General features: G+C 41.4%; 1 long non-coding RNA gene across 1 annotated transcript; it reads left to right on the top strand.

The window, feature by feature from the left end:
* The first annotated feature begins 1,472 nt into the window (after positions 1-1,472).
* Positions 1,473-5,328, top strand: LOC102723376 (uncharacterized). Its single transcript, NR_110795.1, has 3 exons — positions 1,473-1,781; positions 2,550-2,752; positions 5,015-5,328. It is a non-coding gene; the product is annotated as an uncharacterized LOC102723376 (long non-coding RNA).
* Positions 5,329-21,220: the final 15,892 nt, after the last annotated feature.

The raw sequence follows: 21,220 nt of genomic DNA on the forward strand, positions 1-21,220 counted from the left end.
AACCCTAACCCTAACCCTAACCCTAACCCTAACCCTAACCCTAACCCTAACCCTAACCCTAACCCTAACCCTAACCCTAACCCTAACCCTAACCCTAACCCTAACCCTAACCCTAACCCTAACCCTTAACCCTAACCCTAACCCTAACCCTAACCCTAACCCTAACCCTAACCCTAACCCTCACCCTTCTAACTGGACTCTGACCCTGATTGTTGAGGGCTGCAAAGAGGAAGAATTTTATTTACCGTCGCTGTGGCCCCGAGTTGTCCCAAAGCGAGGTAATGCCCGCAAGGTCTGTGCTGATCAGGACGCAGCTCTGCCTTCGGGGTGCCCCTGGACTGCCCGCCCGCCCGGGTCTGTGCTGAGGAGAACGCTGCTCCGCCTCCGCGGTACTCCGGACATATGTGCAGAGAAGAACGCAGCTGCGCCCTCGCCATGCTCTGCGAGTCTCTGCTGATGAGAACACAGCTTCACTTTCGCAAAGGCGCAGCGCCGGCGCAGGCGCGGAGGGGCGCGCAGCGCCGGCGCAGGCGCGGAGGGGCGCGCCCGAACCCGAACCCTAATGCCGTCATAAGAGCCCTAGGGAGACCTTAGGGAACAAGCATTAAACTGACACTCGATTCTGTAGCCGGCTCTGCCAAGAGACATGGCGTTGCGGTGATATGAGGGCAGGGGTCATGGAAGAAAGCCTTCTGGTTTTAGACCCACAGGAAGATCTGTGACGCGCTCTTGGGTAGAGCACACGTTGCTGGGCGTGCGCTTGAAAAGAGCCTAAGAAGAGGGGGCGTCTGGAAGGAACCGCAACGCCAAGGGAGGGTGTCCAGCCTTCCCGCTTCAACACCTGGACACATTCTGGAAAGTTTCCTAAGAAAGCCAGAAAAATAATTTAAAAAAAAATCCAGAGGCCAGACGGGCTAATGGGGCTTTACTGCGACTATCTGGCTTAATCCTCCAAACAACCTTGCCATACCAGCCCATCAGTCCTCTGAGACAGGTGAAGAACCTGAGGTCGCAGGAGGACACCCAGAAGGTCCAGAGAGAGCCTCCTAGGCCCCCCACCTCCCCCCGTGGCAGCTCCAACCCCAGCTTTTTCACTAGTAAGGCAGTCGGGCCCCTGGGCCACGCCCACTCCCCCAAGCGGGGAAGGAGCTTCGCGCTGCCGCTTGGCTGGGGACTGGGCACCGCCCTCCCGCGGCTCCTGAGCCGGCTGCCACCAGGGGGCGCGCCAGCGGTGTCCGGGAGCCTAGCGGCGCGTGTGCAGCGGCCAGTGCACCTGCTCTGGCCCTCGCCGCGGTCTCTGCCAGGACCCCGACGCCCAGCCTGACCCTGCCATTCAGCGGGGCTGCGGCTCCACGGCCTGCGACAGCAGCCCCACCTGGCATTCAGCGCGCTCCCGGGGGCAGAGGTCGCGGTGTCCTCACGCTGTGGTGCCGGCCTACAACCCCCACGCCGGGCTCGGGCCCGGCGGAGGAGGGCGATGCTCCCCGGGTAGGACAAACCGGTCACCTGGGCTGCGACGGCGGCTTAGGGGCAGAAGCGGCGGTCCAGGGCCGCCTGGCGCAGCAGCCTGTCCCAGCCGCGGTCCCTGCAGTCCCTCCCTGGCGGCTGCGCAGCCGTCCCACGACAGGGGCCATAAACTCTCCAGAGCGGAAAGCCGCACCCTGGTGGCCCGGCCCCGCGCCCAGACCTGGCGGCCGCTGGCACCTGACCCGCTGCATGGGTCTCCAGGGAGCTCGCTGCCCACCCGGCGCTGCAGGCTCGGCTCCCTCGTACACTCTCTGGTAGGTGCTAGGGACGACCCTATGGGCCAGCTTGCCATGCCCAGTCCCCAGGCCGCACCCACCCTGGCTCCCTGGGCTAGGGGACTGGCTCCTCCTGTGAGTCGTGGGTCTGGGAGGCAGGGGCGTTAGGGGAGAGTGAGGGACCGAGGGCAGCCCCTGCTGTGTGCACAGCGAGGTCGTGCACAGGCGTCTGTTGCAGAGCGTGCAGCTTCAGATGAGACTGGATTGCAGGTGGAGATGACTGTGGGTGCGCACACCTGGAGGTGAAGGGGAGGCAGCCTGTCTACCTGACCCATGAAATACAGGAGACTGTACCCCAGAAGCAGCGGGTTCACTGCTCCATTGATTAAGCAAGTCTGGGACACACATGTAGCTAAGCTGTGAGTTCTGTACCAGCGATCCCAACACCCACGCCCTCAGAAAGACACTGGTGTGGGGCCTGGGTGCTTGTCAGGCCTGAAAGTGGAGAGCACGGGCCAGAGACACTGAGTAGGGGGAACCCACCCTAGGGCTCTGAGGGACGACGATGTGGGGAGCTGGTGACAGAGCCTGAGCTGGCCCAATGTTGCACGGTGGGGACAGATTCGAGGTACAGTGGGGACTGGTGACCTCAGTTCCCAGTGTCCCAGCCTGGCCTCCCAGTCCACCCAGCAATTAGTGGGTGCTGCCCTGCAAAGACTCTGGGGGTGCCTCAGCCCTCCTCATCACACGTGACTGGTGACTTCTGTGTCCACCCGCACAATAAGAGGGATCTTCTCTCACTTTCAGGCAAGCCCAAGAAAGTCAGGGGCCTATGTGAGCCAAAGAGGAGAGAAGGTGATGCCTCAGCCCAGTGTTTCTGCCCCACCTCGCTTGTGGCCTTCGGAACTTGATTTGCACCGCAGGAAAATGGGCAATGAAAACCCCTCCCTAACTGGCTTCTCAGTCCACTCTGACCAGCCCACTGCACAGCGCCCACCCTGCAGCTCCAGGTACAGAGGCTGGGATGGCTCTGGGCTGACCTAAGGGCCTTCTGATGGCTCCAACCCTCGGGATGCCTCATGCTCACCCTTTGGCACCCACCTGACAGCTCAGCATCTCTGCTCTCTGCCATCCTCAATGCCTGCTCTAGACAAGCCCAAGTCCCCCAGGAGTGGCAGAGGGAACTGAGCCGAAAACTAAGTCTCGGCTCACTGAACCCCAAGTGGGCTGTCCAGCCTCGCCCTTCAGTTCACAACCCCAGGCAGGTTCCCTCCAGGGATGTGATCCCAGGGGCCACAGCAGCACATTCTGGCCTAACCTATCCACTATTTAAACAGTTACTGAAAAGGCCAGGATGGCCGTGGGCCCTGACATTAATCCCCTTTCTCTGTGAGGGGGCTGGGTTGGGTTTGCCATCCTGATGTCTTTGTGGAAAGAGCTGGCAGGTGAAGCAAGTCTCAGGGGCCAGCCATGGGACAAGGAACCTAGGACTGGCCTCTGCTGGAACCCTCTGAGGCCCCTGCGGACAGGAGGATCCAATGGAGGTCTAGCCACCCCTCCCAGGTTGGTGCTCACAGCCCCTCCCTGGCCCACTCCCTGCACACCTGCACCTGCTGGTCTCTGGGAGAGGAGCATCCATCCATCTTGTGCGCATAGCTTTCGGCTCCATTTTCATGAGGATGGTCTCCTTGGCAGAAATGCCCATTAGGGGATCCTGAGCCTGTGCTAGCTCTTCTCTAAGTGCCAAAGCCAGTGAGAGGGACTTGAAAACTCAAGACTTATTAACAGTATTTTCTGCATTTTGTGCTTTCAGGGTTGTTTTTTCCTTAAAATGTGTAAAAACAAACATTGAGATTTCTATCTTTTATATAATTTGGATTCTGTTATCACACGGACTTTTCCTGAAATTTATTTTTATGTATGTATATCAAACATTGAATTTCTGTTTTCTTCTTTACTGGAATTGTTAACTGTTTTATAGGCCAAATCTTTTAAAAAAAACACATCTCTCTAATTTCTCTAAACATTTCTAATTACATATATATTTACTATACCTAATACACTACTTTGGAATTCCTTGAGGCCTAAATGCATCGGGGTGCTCTGGTTTTGTTGTTGTTATTTCTGAATGACATTTACTTTGGTGCTCTTTATTTTGCGTATTTAAAACTATTAGATCGTGTGATTATATTTGACAGGTCTTAATTGACGCGCTGTTCAGCCCTTTGAGTTCGGTTGAGTTTTGGGTTGGAGAATTTTCTTCCACAAGGGATTGTCTTGGATTTTTCTGTTTCTCCCTCAATATCCACCTGGAAAACATTTCAATTAATTTATATTTACTTAAATATTTCTGTGCAAAAACTGTGTACAAAAGCCCCAAAGCATAATTTGTGCAGTTGAGCGCATGTTCTGTTGTTCAGCATTTATGGTGGTTGGTAGTGGAAAAGATTTTTAGAATATGTGGATTTTCGGGATATTCCCAGAAGCCCAGATAGCGACACTTTACCTTTGGAGGAATTACTTCTCAGAATATTGCACACAATCAATCGCCTTTGGAAGGAGCATATATCCCCAGCAAAAGCTCTGGTTTTTTGAAGTCTGTATTGTGTGTTACTTCCAGGAGAATATGCAATGATGACAATGTTATTAGATGATTCAAATATGAAGTGCTGTTATGCCAAACAATGAATCTTTGTGTTATACATTATGCCTAACTATAAATCTTTGTGTTATACATTTTAATGTCATTGGAGAGTACTCCTGTCTTCTTGGCATTATTGATAATTAGATTCTAATTGCTAATAAGTCAGAAAAATTAGGAACACCAAATTTCAGTTGTCTCAAAAGCACTCCTCTTATTAAATTTGGATGTTTACCTTTATCACATCAAAAGAAATATTGTTAGAAAGGTGTTTAATGTTTTGCAGATGGATAGATTACTGTTATTAGTTCTCATTTCATTGTTAATTTTTAAAACCATAAGGTTGGAAGTATCAATATGCCTTTCAATATACCTTAGTGGAATTTATTAAATTTTCATGGATGTCCTTTAGGGGGTTCAGGAAGTTATTTCTATTGCTAGATTTCTGGAAGATTTATCAGGAATGAGTGTCAGACATTGTCAGACGTCCATTGAAATCATCATGGTCTTTTCCTTTATTCTATTAATATGATGTATTACACTGATTGATTTTTAAATTTGTATTGGTAGGATAATTCCACTTGGTTATATTGTCTAACTTTTTTCTAATTTTCTTTCATTTTTATTACAGATGAGGCCTCACTCTGTCACCCAGGTTGGGGTGGAGTGGCACAGTCACAGCTCACTATAACCTCAAGCTCCTGGGCTCAAGTGATCCTGCCACCTCAGCCTCCTAAGTAGCTGGAACTACAGATGTGCACTGCCATGCCAGGCTTGTCTAACATTTTTATGTGTTGCTTCATCCAGTTTGCTAGAGTTTTTGGAGATTTCTGTCTTCATTCATGAGGGATAATAGTCTGCACTTTTATTTTCTTGTGATACTTTTGTCTGATTTGTTATCTGGGTAATACTGGCCTTGAAAATGAATTGATGTTTTCCTGCTTCTCTGCTTTGCAAGTGTTTGTGAAGGATTGGTTATTCATTAAGTGTTTAATAGAATTCACTAGTGAAGCTATGTGAGCCAGGGCTAGACTGATGAAGAGTTTTCATTAGTCTAATCTGTTTACTTGCTGTATAAGTACGCATATATTCTCTTTCTTCTTGATTTAATTTTACACTTTGTGTATAGCAGGGAATCTGTGTCTAATTTGTAGTATTTCATGCTTCTAGGTTTTCATGGCAGTTGAGATGTAAGAATAACAATAATGTTGGGAGAAGGAAGTTGTGGACAATCCATGAATATCCCAACATCTGTTGTAGGAAGGTTAAGATTACTTTTTTTTTTTTTGCTGTACTGAACTGAATACTCTTATTTATAATGTCAGACAAATGTAATGTTGTATATAAATAGAACTAGGAAAATGTGCCATTTGTCTTAGTATTTAATCAAGATGGAAGTCTGGGCCTACCTCCTCTCTTTTATTAATATGTAGACAGGACACCAACACAAATTAGAATGAAGACAAACAAAATGTTAGCAAATGAAGAATGGTATCAATTGGTTAAAATGTGATGAAATAGAGTGGTGAATATTTACATAGAATCCATGATGTGTTAGGTGCTATTTCAAGCTATTTGCACATATAGTTTTAATACCAATGACGTTAAAATGTATAACACAAAGATTCATATAAATAAAAATTACAACATTGTAAATAATATTAGGTGACACTAAAACTGTCATAGAAATACACATTTATATAAAACATAAAGTAACATGAAGTATTAAATTTTAGAAACTTTGATTACTAATCAGATGAACAACTGATTAGCCTTTTTATCCAGTAAAAAAGGCATACATATTATTTTCAAATTCCAGAGACAAATATTTTAAATATTGAAGTTGAAGACCTAAAAATGTGTCACTGACCTCATGGAAGTAGATATTCACTAGGTGATATTTTCTAGGCTCTCTGAAATTATATCAGAAAAATGTGAATTAGAATATAACCCATAAATAATATCTGGCCACATACAAAGTAATTGAAGATCAATTTAAATGGCTATTGGATTAAGAAATAGGGACTGAGGTAAATTTGCAGTGTCAGGGAGGATCTAAGGAGGAAGCATTGACACTGGAGCCCAAGGACCTGGGATCACAGAACAGATTCTACCAGTGCTAACTTACTGCTCCACAGAAAACATCAATTCTGCTCATGCGCAGGTACAATTCATCAAGAAAGGAATTACAACTTCAGAAATGTGTTCAAAATATATCCATACTTTGACATATTAATGAAGTAATCACATTCTACACATAACTACTCCATATGGAATACTGGGGAGGAGGTGTTCCAAATAAAGAGACTGAGGATTTCTCATGAGAACTCAGTGTCTGCTAGAAAATATCTAAGTAAAATATTTTACTTATGTGGAAAGTGTGGATGTTTGTGCATCAAAAGTTTCAAGAATCCCTAAAATTTACAATGGAGATGAGGAGAAAATATCAGAATTTCCCAGCACCAGAAATAAGGCAAGAAAAAATTCAGAGGGGTTGTAAATGTGAAAAGCCAATGGCTGGTCACACAGCAACATTGATAACCTTGTGCCTGGACAACTAGAATAAATACATAAACATACACATTGAAAATATTTCCAATATTAGATCTCCCTCATGTGAGAACTAAATTATAAAGATTGAAGCATAGAAGAAAATAAGCTACCAGAATAAATTTGATTACACATAAATTTCTGATATTGAAACTGTCACAAATGTTTAAGTTGGTAGTGGAAGACAAAGGACATATAATCTTGGGAGTCCTAAGGCCCTGCCCACTGCCAGTCCCTCCACACTACTACAGCTGATGCTTTCTGGAAATCACCACCTCCTGGCAGGAGCCCAACCAGCACAAATATAGAGCATTAAACCACCAAAGCTAAGGAGGCTCACAGAGTCTATTGCACCCTTCACCACCTCCACTGGAACAGGCGCTGGTATCCATGGCTCAGAGACCCAAAGATGGTTCACATCACAGGGCTCTATGCAGACAACCCCCAGTACCAGCCCAAAGCCACGTAGACCTGCTGGGTGGCTAGACCCAGAAGAGAGACAACAATCAATGCACTTTGGCTTACAGGAAGCCATGCCCATAGGAAAAAGGGGAGAGTACTACGTCAAGGGAACACCCCGTGGGATGAAAGAGTCTGAACAACAGTCTTCAGCCCTAGACCTTTCCTCTGACAGAGTCTACCAAAATGAGAAGGAACCAGAAAACCAACCCTGGTAATCTGACAAAACAAGAATCTTCAACACCCCCCAAAAAATCACACCAGTTCATCACCAATGGATCCAAACAAAGAAGAAATCACTGATTCATCTAAAAAAAAATTCAGGTTAGTTATTAAGCTAATCAGGGAGGGGCCAGAGAAAGATGAAGCCCAATGCAAGAAAATCCAAAAAATGATACAATACGTGAAGGGAGAATTATTCAAGGAAATAGATAGCTTAAATAAAAAAATAAAAAATCAGGAAACTTTGGACGTACTTTTAGAAATGTGAAATGCTCTGGAAAGTCTCAGCAATAGAATTGAACAAGTAGAAGAAAGAAATTCAGAATTCGAAGACAAGGTCTTTGATTTAACCCAATCCAATAAAGACAAAGAAAAAAGAATAAGAAAATATGAGCAAAGTCTCCAAGGAGTCTGGCATTCTGTTAAATGATGAAACCTAACACTAATTGGTGTACCTGAGGAAGAAGTGAATTCTAAAAGCCAGGAAAACATATTTGGGAGAATAATCTAGGAAAACTTCCATGGCCTTGTGAGAGACCTAGACATCCAAATACAAGAACCACAAATAACACCTGGGAAATTCATCACAAAAAGATCTTAGCCTAGGCACATTGTCATTAGGTTATCCAAAGTTAAGACAAAGGAAAGAATCTTAAGAGCTGTGAGACAGAAGCACTAGGTAACCTATAAAGGAAAACCTGTCAAATTAACAGCAGATTTCACAGCAGGAACCTTACAAGCTAGATGGGATTGGGGCCCTTTCTTCAGCCTCCTCAAACAAAACAATTATCAGCCAAGAATTTTGTATCCAGCAAAACTAAACATCATATATGAAGGAAAGATACAGTCATTTTCAGACAAACAAATGCTGACAGAATTTGCCATTACCAAGCCAGGACTCTAAGAACTGCTAAAAGGAGCTCTAAATCATGAAACAAATCCTGGAAACACATCAAAACAGAACTTCATTAACGCATAAATCACACAGGACCTATAAAACAAAAATACAAGTTAAAAAACAAAAACAAAGTACAGAGGCAACAAAGAGCATGATGAAAGCAATGGTACCTCACTTTTTAATACTAATGTTGGTTGTAAATGGCTTAAATGCTCCACTTACAAGATACAGAACCACAGAATGGATAACAACTCACCAACTAACTATCTGCTGCCTTCAGGAGACTCACCTAACACATAACGACTTACATAAACTTAAGGAAAGTGGTAGAAAAAGGCATTTCATGCAAATGGACACCAAAAGCAAGCAGCAGTAACTATTCTCATATGAGACAAAACAAACTTTAAAGCAACAGTAGCTAAAAGAGACAAAGAGAGACAGTATATCATCTGTCACCTGACAGTCTCATCCAACAGAAAAATATGACAATCCTAAACATATGTGAACCTAACACTGGAGCTCCCAAATTTATAAAACAATTACTAGTAGACATAAGAAATAAGATAGACAGCAACACAATAATAGTGGGGGACTTCAATACTCCACTGACAGCACTAGACAGGTCATCAAGACAGAAAGTCAACAAAGAAACAATGGATTTAAACTATACTTTGGAACAAATGGACTTAACAGATATATATAGAACATTTCATCCAACAACCACAGAATACACATTCTATTCAACAGCACATGGAATTTTCTCCAAGATAGACCATATGATAGGCCATAAAATGAGTCTCAATAAATTTAAGAAAATTGAAATTGTATCACGCACTCTCTCACATCACAATGGAATAAAACTGAAAATCAACTCCAAAAGGAATCTTCGAAACCATGCAAATACATGGAAATTAAATAACCTGCTCCTGAATGAGCATTGGGTGAAAAACGAAATCAAGATGGAAATGTAAAAAATTTCTTCGAACTGGATGACACAACCTATCAAGACCTCTGGGATACAGCAAAGGCAGTGCTAAGAGGAAAGTTTATAGCACTAAACACCTACGTCGAAAAGTCTGAAAGAGCACAGACAATCTAAGTTCACATCTCAGGGAACTAGAGAAGGAGGAACAAGCCAAACCCAATCCCAGCAAACAAAGGAAATAACCAAGATCAGAGCAGAACTAAATGAAATTGACACAACAACAACAACAACAAAAATACAAAACATAAATAAAACAAAAATTTGGTTATTTGAAAAGATAAAATTGATAAACCATTAGCAAGATTAACCAAGAAAAGGAGAGAAAATCCAAATAACCTCACTAAGAAATGAAACAGGGGATATTACAACTGACACCACTGAAATATTAAAGATTATTCAAGGGTACTATGAACACCTTTTAGCACATAAACTAGAAAACCTAGAAGAGTTGGATAAATTCCTGGAAAAATACAACCCTCCTAGCTTAAATCAGGAAGAATTAGATACCCCAAGCAGACCAATAAAGCAAGCAGCAAGATTGATAGGGTAATTTAAAAATTACCAACAAAAAAAGCCAAGGACCAGACGGATTCACAGCAGAATTCTACCAGACATTCAAAGAAGAAATGATACCAATCCTTTCACACTATTCCACAAGACAGAGAAAGAAGAAACCCTTCCAATTCATTCTATGAAGCCAGCATCAGCCTAATACCAAAACCATGAAAGGACATAACCAGAAAAGAAAACTACAGACCAATATCCTTAATGAACGCAGATGCCAAAATCCTTAACAAAATACTATCTAACTGAATCCAACAACATATCAAAAAGATAATCCACCAAGATCAAGTGGGTTTCATACCAGTGATACAGGAATGGTTTAACATATGCAAGTCAATAAATGTGATACACCAAATAAACAGAATTTAAAAAAAACTCACATGATTATATCAACAGATGCAGAAAAAGCATTCAACAAAATCTAGCATTGCTTTATGATTAAAGCTCTCAGCAAAATAGGCATACAAGGGACATACCTTAATGTAATAAAAGCCATCTATGACAAACCCACAGCCAACATAATACTGAATGGGGAAAAGGTGAAAGCATTCCCTTTGAGAATTGGAACAAGACGAGGAGACTACTCTCACCACTCCTCTTCAACATAGTACTGGAAGTCCTAGCCAGAGCAATCATACAAAGGAAGGAAATAGAGGAAATCCAAATCGGTAAAGAGGAAGTCAAACTGTCACTGCTTGCTGACAATATGATCTTTCACCTTGAAAACCCTACAGACTCCTCTAGAAAGCTCCTAGAACTGATAAAAGAATTCAGCAAAGTTTCCAGATACAAGATAAATGTACACAAATCAGTAACTCTTCTATACATCAACAGCTACCAAGCAGAGAATCACATCAAGAACTCAACCCCTTTTACAATAGCTGCAAAAAAAAAAAAAAAAAAAAAAAAAAAAAAAAAACTTAGGAATATACCTAGCAAAGGAATCAAAAGACCTCTACAATGAAAATTACAAAACACTGCTGAAAGAAATCATAGATGGAGCCAAGCATGGTGGCGCATGCCTATAATCCCAGCTACTCGGGAAGCTGAGGCAGGAGAATCGCTTGAACCCAGGAGGCAGAAGTTGTAGTGAGCCGAGATCACACCATTGCACTCCCACCTCAGCGACAAGAGCGAAACTCCCTCTGAAAAAAAAAAAAAAAAAAAAAAAAAAAAAACAAGAAAGAAAAGAAATCATAGATGACACAAACAAATGGAAACGCACCCCCATGCTCATGGATGGGTAGAACCAATATTGTGAAAATTACCATTCTGTTAAAGGCAATCTACAAATTCAATGCAATCCCCATCTGAACACCACCATCATTCTTCACAGAATTACAAAAACGATTCTAACATTAATATGGAACCAAAAGAGAGCCATGTAGCCAAACCAAGGCTAAGCAAAAAGAACAAACCTGGAGGCATCACACTACTTGATTTCAAACTGTACAATAAGGCCACAGTTACCAAAACAGCATGGTACTGGTTTAAAAATAGGCATATACACCAATGGAACAGAAGAGAGAACCCAGAAATTAACCCAAATACTTACAGCCAACTGATCTTCAACAAAGTAAACAAAAACATAAAGTGGGGAAAGGACACCCTTTTCAACACATGATGTTGGGATAATTGGTGAGCCACATGTAGGGGAATAAAATTGGATTCTCATCTCTCACCTTATATAAAAATCGACTCAAGATGGATTAAGAACTTAAACCTAATACCTGAGCTATAAAAATTCTAGAAAATAACACTGGATAAACCCTTCTAGACATTGGCATAGGCAAGGATTTCATGATGAAGAACCCAAATGCAAATGCAATAAAAACAAAGATAAATAGTTGGGACTTAATTAAACTAAAGAGCTTTTGCATGGCAAAGGGAACAGTCAGCAGAGTAAACAGACAACCCACAGAGTGGGAGAAAATCTTCATAATCTATACATCTGACAGAGGACTAATATCCAGAATCCACAACAAACTCAAACAAATCAGTATGAAAGAAAAAAACAACCCCATCAAAAAATGGGCTAAGGACATGAATGGACAGTTCTCAAAAGAAGATATGCAAATGGCCAACAAACATAAATAAAAATGCTTAATATCACTAATGATCAGGGAAATGCAAATCAAAACCACAATGCAATACCACCTTACCTCCTGCAACCCAAAAATAAAAAAACAGTAGATGTTGCCGTGGATGCAGTAAACAGGGAACACTTCTACACTGCTGGAGGGAATGTAAACTAGTATGCCACTATCAAAAATAATGTGGAGATTCCTTAAATAACTAAAAGTAGAACCACCATTTGATCCAGCAATCCCACTACTAGGTATCTACCCAGAGGAAAATAAATCATTATTCAAAAAAGATACTTGCACACGCAAGTTTATAGCAGTACAATTCACAATTGCAAAATCGTGTAACCAACCCAAGTGCCCATCAGTCAACAAGTGGATAAAGAAACTGTGAGATAGATATATATAGATAGATATATAGATATATATATATAGATAGATAGATAGATATAGATAAATATATATAGATATCTATAGATATATAGATATAGATATATATAATGGAATACTATGTAGCCATAGAAAGGAATGAATTAACAGCATTTCCTGTGACCTGGACGAGATTGGAGACTATTGTTCTAAGTGATGTAACCCAGGAATGGAAAACTCAACATTGTATGTTCTCACTGATATGTAGGAGCTAAGCTATGAGGACACAAAGGCATAAGAATGATGCAACGGACTTTGGGGACTTGGGAGGAAGAGTGGGAGGGAGGCGAGCAATAAAAGACTACGAATATGGTGCAGTCTATACGGCTTGGGTAATGGGTGCACCATAATCTCACAAATCACCGCTAAGGAACTTACTTATGTAACCAAATACCATCTGTACCCCGATAACTTATGAAAAAATTAAATAAAAATAATAAATGAAAAATAAAGTATAACACACCAAGAAAGTGAAGAGATAACCCACAGAATGGGAAAAAATGATTGCAAACTATCCATCTGACAAAGGATTAATAACTGCAATATGTAAGAAGCTCAAACAACTCTACAAGAAAAAATCTAATAACCTGGTCAAAAATGGCCAAAAAGATTTGAAGATATATTTCTCAAAAGAAGACATACACATGGCAAACAGGCATATGAAAAGGTGCTCAAAATCATTGATAGAGAAATGCAAATCGAAACTGAAGTGTGACATCATCTCACTGGAGTTAAAATGGCTTATATGCAAAATACAGGAAATAACAAATGCTAGCGAGAATTTGGAGAAAAGGGAACCCTCATTTACTGTTGGTGGGAATGTAAATTAGTACAACCACTATAAACAACAGTTTGGAGGTTCCTCAAGAAACTAAAAATTAAGCTACCACATTATCCAACAATCCTACTGTTGGGTATATACCCAAAAGAAAGGAAATCAGTATGTTGAGATATCTGTACTCCTGTGTTTGTTGCAGCACTATTTACAATAGCTAAGATTTGGAAGCAACCTGAGTGTCCATCAAGAATGGATTAAAAAATGTGGTACATACACACCATGGAGTACTATTCAGCCCTAAAAAAGAATGAGAACCAGTCATCTGCAAGGCCATGGATGGAACTGGAAATCATTGTGTTAAGCAAAATAGCCAGCCACAGAAAGACAAACATCATATGTTCTCACTTATTTGTGGGATCTCAAAATCAACCCACTTGAACTCATGAACATAGAGAGAAGGATGATTACCAAAGGCTGGGAAGGATAGTGGGGAGCTAGGGTGAGGTGGGCATTGCTCATGGGTACAAAAAATAATTAGAATGAATGAGAGTCACTATTTGATAGCACAATAGGGTGACAATGGTCAATAATAACATAATTGTACATTTTAAAATAACTTAAAGTGTAATTAGATTGTTCACAACTCGAAAAATAAATGCTTGAGAGGATGGATGTCCCATTCTTTGTGATGTGATTATTTAATTTTGTATGTCTGTATCAAAACATCTCATTTATGTTATAAATATATACACCTATGTACCCACAAAAATTAAAAATTAAAAAATTATAAGACAGTTGACTCAATTTGAATTTTGGGTAATGTTATTATTTGTATAAATATCTTCCAATACTTGCTTAAACACATTACACATAAATATGCAAATATTGCTTAGCTATACTAAAATGTTATTCATTGCTCATCCCAATTTTAAACTTTACTGTGTTCCTTATATTTTCTTTCAGTAAATCTGACACATTCATTTTAAAAGTATCATAGGATTTACAATAACATAGTACAGATGTGAGGAAAAAAGAATAAAATAAAAATCCTTAGAGGTCATATGGGTTGGTAAGAGTATAAAAGAAAACTGAGTCCCATATGATACATTAAAAACATAAATCAGGATGTACATCTCAGCTCTCACCAGGAGACGTGGCAACCAGAATGTCCTTGGGCTGAGGGTGAAGTCCCTGACCACTCTCAGAGACAGACAATGCAAATCAAGTTCATTCTAACTGTGCTTGATTAACCTTCAAAATTGTGTAAGTCCCTAAGCATATATATAATCATGAGTAGTTGTGGGGAAAATAACACCATTAAATGTACCAAAACAAAAGACCGATCACAAACACTGCCGATGTTTAGATCAGATGTGTGAAGCAAAGAAAGAGAGTATAATAAAAAATAATTTAAAGAAAATAGAGCTTGATAAATCTGTTTCTTCATCTTCATAATAATGTCAAATTTGTTGAGATTTTTTTTAAATGGCACGATTTGTCTACAGATCTTTGTACTCTGGCTTAAATTAAATGTATATACAACTTATATAATAAAATACTGGGCTGTTTTATTATTATATTGACAATTTCTTAGTCACCACTACTTTGATCATATTCTATAAATGGCACTGTGAGACCTATCACTGGTTATCAACAACATAAAGTGTTTATGACAATTTCATGTGACAGATGAAGGAAGTTTGGTTAGTGCAGTGGCAATAGTTGGCAACCGAGAAACTGAGCTCACAATTTTAGAAAAGTATTATTCTTTCTAACTAGATATTTCCATGAAAAGAACCTTGTGAAATGCAGAAATGCCAAAAGAATAATTATAAGATAATAACCAAATAACTAAAATACATCTCAATTTCTCTGACAATCTAACTTAATGCAGGGTACAGCCAGAATCATGATGTTTACAAACATAGACATTTACGATCTCGAGACATTTAATTATTAGCTGGTTGAGGAAAACAGTAGTAGAACTGTTATTGCAGAGATAAAAGACAGAAAACAGTGGAAGGGCTTGATCACAAGTCATATGTTCCAGTTTTGGAAACCTCTAAAAATCCTGCCTGGTGATAGGTTTTTCTTATCTCATTATTGAAGAATATATGAGCAGGCAGGGCACGGTGGCTCAAACCTGTAATCCCAGCACTTTGGGAGGCCAGTGTTGGAGGATCACTTGAGGCCAGGAGCTCAAGACTAGCCTGGGCAACATAGGAAGACCCTGTCTCTACAATTTTTTTAAACTAGCCGACTGTGGCGGCATATGCCTGTAGTCCCAGCCACTAGGGAGGATGAGGTGGGAGAATGGCTTGACCTTAGGTGTTTGAATCTGGAGTGATCTGTGATTGTGCCACTGCACTCCAGCAAGAATGACAGAGCTAGATCCTGCGTACAAATATACACATATTGTATATATTGTCAATGACCAGTCACAGGTCTTACAATGCTGTTTATACAACATGGTAAAAATAATGTTGACAAAGAAATTATCACAATAATAATAATAAAAGCCCTGTGTGTTATTATTTAACTTGTTCATAAATTTAATGTAAATGAGGTAGAGTAATAAAGATCTGTAGACAAATCATGTCATTTATTTTTTTTAATCTCAACATAATATAACTTTTTTTTTTTTTTTTAAACAGAGTCTCACTCTGTCACCCAGGCTGGAATGCTGTGGCTAGATCTCGGCTCACTGCAACCTCCACCACCCTGGTTCAAGCGATTCCTCTGCCTCAGCCTCCCAAGTAACGGGGATTACAGGTTCCTGCCACCGTGCCTGGCTAATTTCTGTATTTTTAGTAGAGAGGGGGTTTCACCATCTTGACTAGGCTGGTCTTAAACTCCTGACCTCGTGATCCACCGGCTCGGCCTCCCAAAGTGCTGGGATTACAGAAGTGAGCCACCGCGCCCAGCCAACGTTTCTTTTTTAAAGTGTGCAAGCTCTTTGACCATCATGTCTCTGTGCATCACTGCAATAAGATAACCAGAGCAACTGTTTCCACCGTGGAGTTGGGAGGAGATAAAGACACATCCTTTGTGCTTTGGGCGCTCTTATCAGGATCAGGGAGGCCCCTGCCCTCTGATTTTCTCTCTCTTAAATGTACAAAGTACAGAGATTTTTATCATGAATAATTTTAAGAGAAATTAAAAATTCTATATTGTTCAAGGACATGCAGGTTTTCTATTGATCATGTTTCCTCTTGATATTATTAGGCCCTGGCCAGCCGCAAATGAACAATCTCTATCATCAACATTGTGTTCCTTTGCGTTTTAACCTTTCCTGATTCCATTCTCTCTACCTTTTATTTTGAAGAAGCATAGACACCAGAAAACCCTATCCCTACCAAATGCCAAAAAAAAAAACCCTAAAATTGTAAATATTAACATTTACAAGTCACATTTGGGAATATATAATTTAATTAGAAAATTACAATTTTAAACTTTCAGAGGAAGTGGTAGTAATATAAAACAGAGGACATTTTTATAATAAGGAACTCTTATATTTTGCAAATTATTATTCTCTCATCACCAAATAGTGCTACCTAAAGTAATATACAACCAATTTAATAAGTTTAGTTTTAAAAAACACAAAATTACAAAACAATTAATACAATATTTGAAATTATGATGCATATTGCCAGCCTCCCTTCAGGTAAAATTCTATTAACTCTACAAAAATTTTCTAAATGGCAGATGTTACATTTCCAGAAAGCTTTGTGGTAACCAAAAAAGAATTGATTTATTAGCAATTTTTATATCACACTGAGACAAAATATTATTTGTGATAAATATTGTTATGTATTTAAAACATCTCATGTATTAAGAAATCATACTTTAGATGGGGCCAAGCTGGCCTATTAGAAGCAGCTGTGGCCTGCGGCTCTCACGGAGAGCAGTAAAAACTGCGAGTGAATTCTGCACCTTCAGTTGAGGTATCCAGGTTCTTGCATTGGGACTGACTAGGCAGACAGCTCGACCCACAGAGAGCGAGGAAAACAAGTGGGGCGATGGCCCACCCAGGTGTGGCACGGAGCTAGGGGCGCCCCCACTCGCAGCCAAGGGAGGCGGTGAGGGATTGTGCGACTCTGCCCGGGAAACCGTGCTTCTCCCACGGATCTTTGCAACCTGCAGATCAGGAGGTCCCCTGGTGAGCTCAGCCATGGCCTTGGGTCTGAAGCACAGAGCTGTGTGGAGTCTGGGCGGAATGCTCGCTGGCTCACTGGGGCATGCGTGAAAGCCCAGGAGTTTTGCATCCTCTGCCCCGAGAATTCCAGCAAAGCGGAAGATACATCCGTGCATTCCCCTAGGAAGGGGGCTGAATCCAGGGAGCCAAGTGACATCATTCTGAGGCCCCACTCCCACAGCACCTCACAAGTCCCATTGGCTTGGAATTCCAGCTGGCCAGCAGCAGCAGGCTGGAGACAGCCGGAGATGGACCGGGTTCCCGGGGTAGGGCAGCCACTCTATCTGTGGTTTGAGTTGGCCGCTCTAGCCTGCTGGCACCAGGGACCAGGAGGAGTCCCCCATAACACAGCACAGCTGCTGTGACTGACCGTGGCCGGGCTGCTTCTTTAAGTGAGACCGAAATCCATCCCTCCTCACCGGACAGGGCCTCCCCATCGGAATTTTAGCAACTCCAGCCAGAGTTCTATGGACAGAACTCTGATTTCTCCCTGGGATGAAGTCCCCAGGGAGAGGGGTAGCTGCTGTCTCCCCAGTTCAGCCGACTGAGCCTTTCCAGCCTGCTGGCTCTGGAGACTCCTGGGAGTCACCACAGCACACCTGCTCTGCCGAAGGGCAGCCAGACTGCTTCTTTAAGCAGTCCCTGATCCTGTTTCTCCTGACTGGACAAGACCTCCCAACAGGGGTCTCCAGACACCTCCTACAGGAGCGTTCCAGCTGGCATCAAGTCGGTACCTCCTTGGACTGGTGCTCCCAGAGGAAGGAACAGGCCGCCATCTTTGCTGTTTCGCAGCCTTCACTGGTGATACCTCCAGGTGCAGGAGAGACTGAGGTGATGAGGGTCCAGAGTGGACCCCCAGAAAACCACAGCAGACCTAGGGAAGAGTGGTCTGACAGTTAAAAACAAACAGAAAGCAACAACATCAACAAAAAAGACCCCACAAAAACCCCATTCAAAGGTCAGCAATGTCAAAAATCAAAGGTAGATAAGCCCACAAAGATGACAAAACGTAACACAAAAACGCTGAAAACTCAAAAAGGCAGAATGCCTCTTCTCCTCTAAATGACAACAACACCTCCCCAGCAAGGGCACAGAACGGACCCCAGGCTGAGATGGCTGAATTGACAAAAGTAGGCTTTAGGAGGTGGGTAATAACAAACCACACTGAGCTAAAGGAGCACATTCTAACTTAATGCAAGGAAGCTAAAAATCATAAAAGAAATTACAGAAGGTGATAACCAGAATATTCAGTTTAGAGAGGAACATAACTGACCTGATGGAGGTGAGAAACACAACACGAGAACTTCGCAATGCAACCACAAGTATCACTAGCAGAAAAGGCCAAGTGGAGGAAAGAATCTCAGAGCTTCAAAACCATCTGTCTAAGACAGGAAGAGAAGAATAGAGAAAAAAGAACAGAGAACAATAGAGAAAAAAGACCAAAAAAGAATGAATAAAACCTTCAAGAAATATGGGATTATGTAAAAAGACTGAACTTAAGACTGATAAGGGTACCTTGACCCACCACGATCAAGATGGCTTCATCCTTGGGATACAAGGTTGGTTCAACACAGGCAAATCTATAAATGTAATTCCTCACATAAACAGAACTAAACATAAAAACAACAGGATTATCTCAACAGATGCAGAAAAGGCCTTCAATAAAAGTCAACATCCCTTCATGTCAAAAACTCTCAATAAACTAGCTATTGAAGGATCACACCTCAAAATAATAAGAGCCACATATGACAAACCCACAGCCAATATCATACTGAATGAGCAAAACCTGGAAGCGTTCCCCTTGAGAACTGGCACAAGACAAGGATGGCCTCTCTCACCACTCCTATTCAACGTAGTACTGGAATTTCTGGCCAGGGCAGTCAGGCAGGAGAAAGAAATAAAGGCATTTAAATAGGAAGAGAGGAAGTCAAATTATCTTTGTTTGCAGATGACATGATCCTGTATCTAGAAAACCCCATCATCTCAGCCCAAAAGCTTCTTAAGCTGATGAACCACATCAACAGAATCTCAGGATACAAAATCAATGTGCAAAAATCACTAGTATTCCTATACACCAACAACAGGCAAGTAGCCAAATCATGAATGAACTTCATTCACAATTACTACAAAGAGAATAAAATACATAGGAATACAGCTAACAAGCGAAGTGAAAAACCACTTCAAGGAGGACTACAAACCACTGCCCAGAGAAATCAGATAGGACACAAACAAATGGAGAAGCATTCCATGCTCATGGATACGGAAGAATTAATTCATGAAAATGTCCATAGTGCTCAAAGTAATTTATAAAAGAATTCAATGCTATTCCCATTAAACTACCAATGACATTCTTCACAGAATTAGAAGAAACTATTTTACAATTCTCATGAACCAAAAAAGAGCCCAAATAGCCAAGACAATTCTAAGCAAAAAGAACAAAGCTGGAGGCATCACACTACCCAACTTCGAACTATACTATAAGGCTACAGTAAACAGAACAGCATGGTACTGTACAAAAACAGACACATAGACCAATGAAACAGAATACAGAACTCTGAAATAAGCCCATACACATACAACCATCTGATCTTTGACAAACCTGACAAACACAAGCAATGGGGAAAGGATTCCTTATTTAATAAATCATGTTGGGAAAACTGGCTAGCCATATGCAGAAAACTGAAACTGGACATCTTCCTTATACCTTATACAAAAAAATAACTCAAGATGGAATAAAGACTTAAACGTAAGACCTAAAACCATAAAAACGCTGGAAGAAAACCTAGGCAATACCATTCAGGACATAGGCATCGGCAAAGACTTTATGACTAAAACACCAAAAGCAATGGAAACAAAAGCCAAAATTGACAAATGGGATCTAATTAAACTAAAGAGCATCTGCACAGCAAAATAAACTCATCAGAGTGAACAGACAACCAAAAGATTGGGAGAAAATTTTTGCAATCTGTCTGACGAAGGGCTAATATCAAGAATCTACAAAGAACTTAAACAAATTTACAAGAAAAAAAACAACCCCATCAAAAAGTGGGCAAAGGAAATGAACAGACACTTCTCAAAAGAAGACATTTATGCAGCCAACAAACATATGAAAAAAAGCTCATCATCACTGGTCATTAGATAAATGCAAATCAAAACCACAGTGAGATACCATCTCACACCAGTTAGAATGGTGATTATTAAAAAGTCAGGAAACAACAGATGCTGATGAGGCTGTGGAGAAATAGGAATGCTTTTACACTGTTGGTAGGAGTGTAAATTAGTTCAGTCATTATGGAAGACAGTGTGACAATTCCTCAAGGTTCAGCAATCCCATTACGGGGTATATACCCAAAGCATTATAAATTATTATACTATACAGACACATGCACTGTATGTTTATTTCAGCACTGTTCACAATAGCAAAGACTTGGAACCAACCCAAATTCCCATCAATGATAAAGTGGATAAAGAAAATGTGGCACATATACACCATGGAATACTACACATTTATGTCCTTTCCAGGGACATGGATGAAGCTGGAAACCATCATTCTCAGCAAACTAACACAAGAAAAGAAAACCAGGCCAGGAGCAGTGGCTCATGCCTGTAGTCTCAGAACTTTGGGAGGCAAAGGTGGGCAGATCACCTGAGGTGAGGAGTTTGAGACCAGCCT

This window comes from Homo sapiens, chromosome 10, assembly GCF_000001405.40.
Source record: "Homo sapiens chromosome 10, GRCh38.p14 Primary Assembly".
In the NCBI taxonomy this organism is placed as follows: domain Eukaryota; kingdom Metazoa; phylum Chordata; class Mammalia; order Primates; family Hominidae; genus Homo; species Homo sapiens.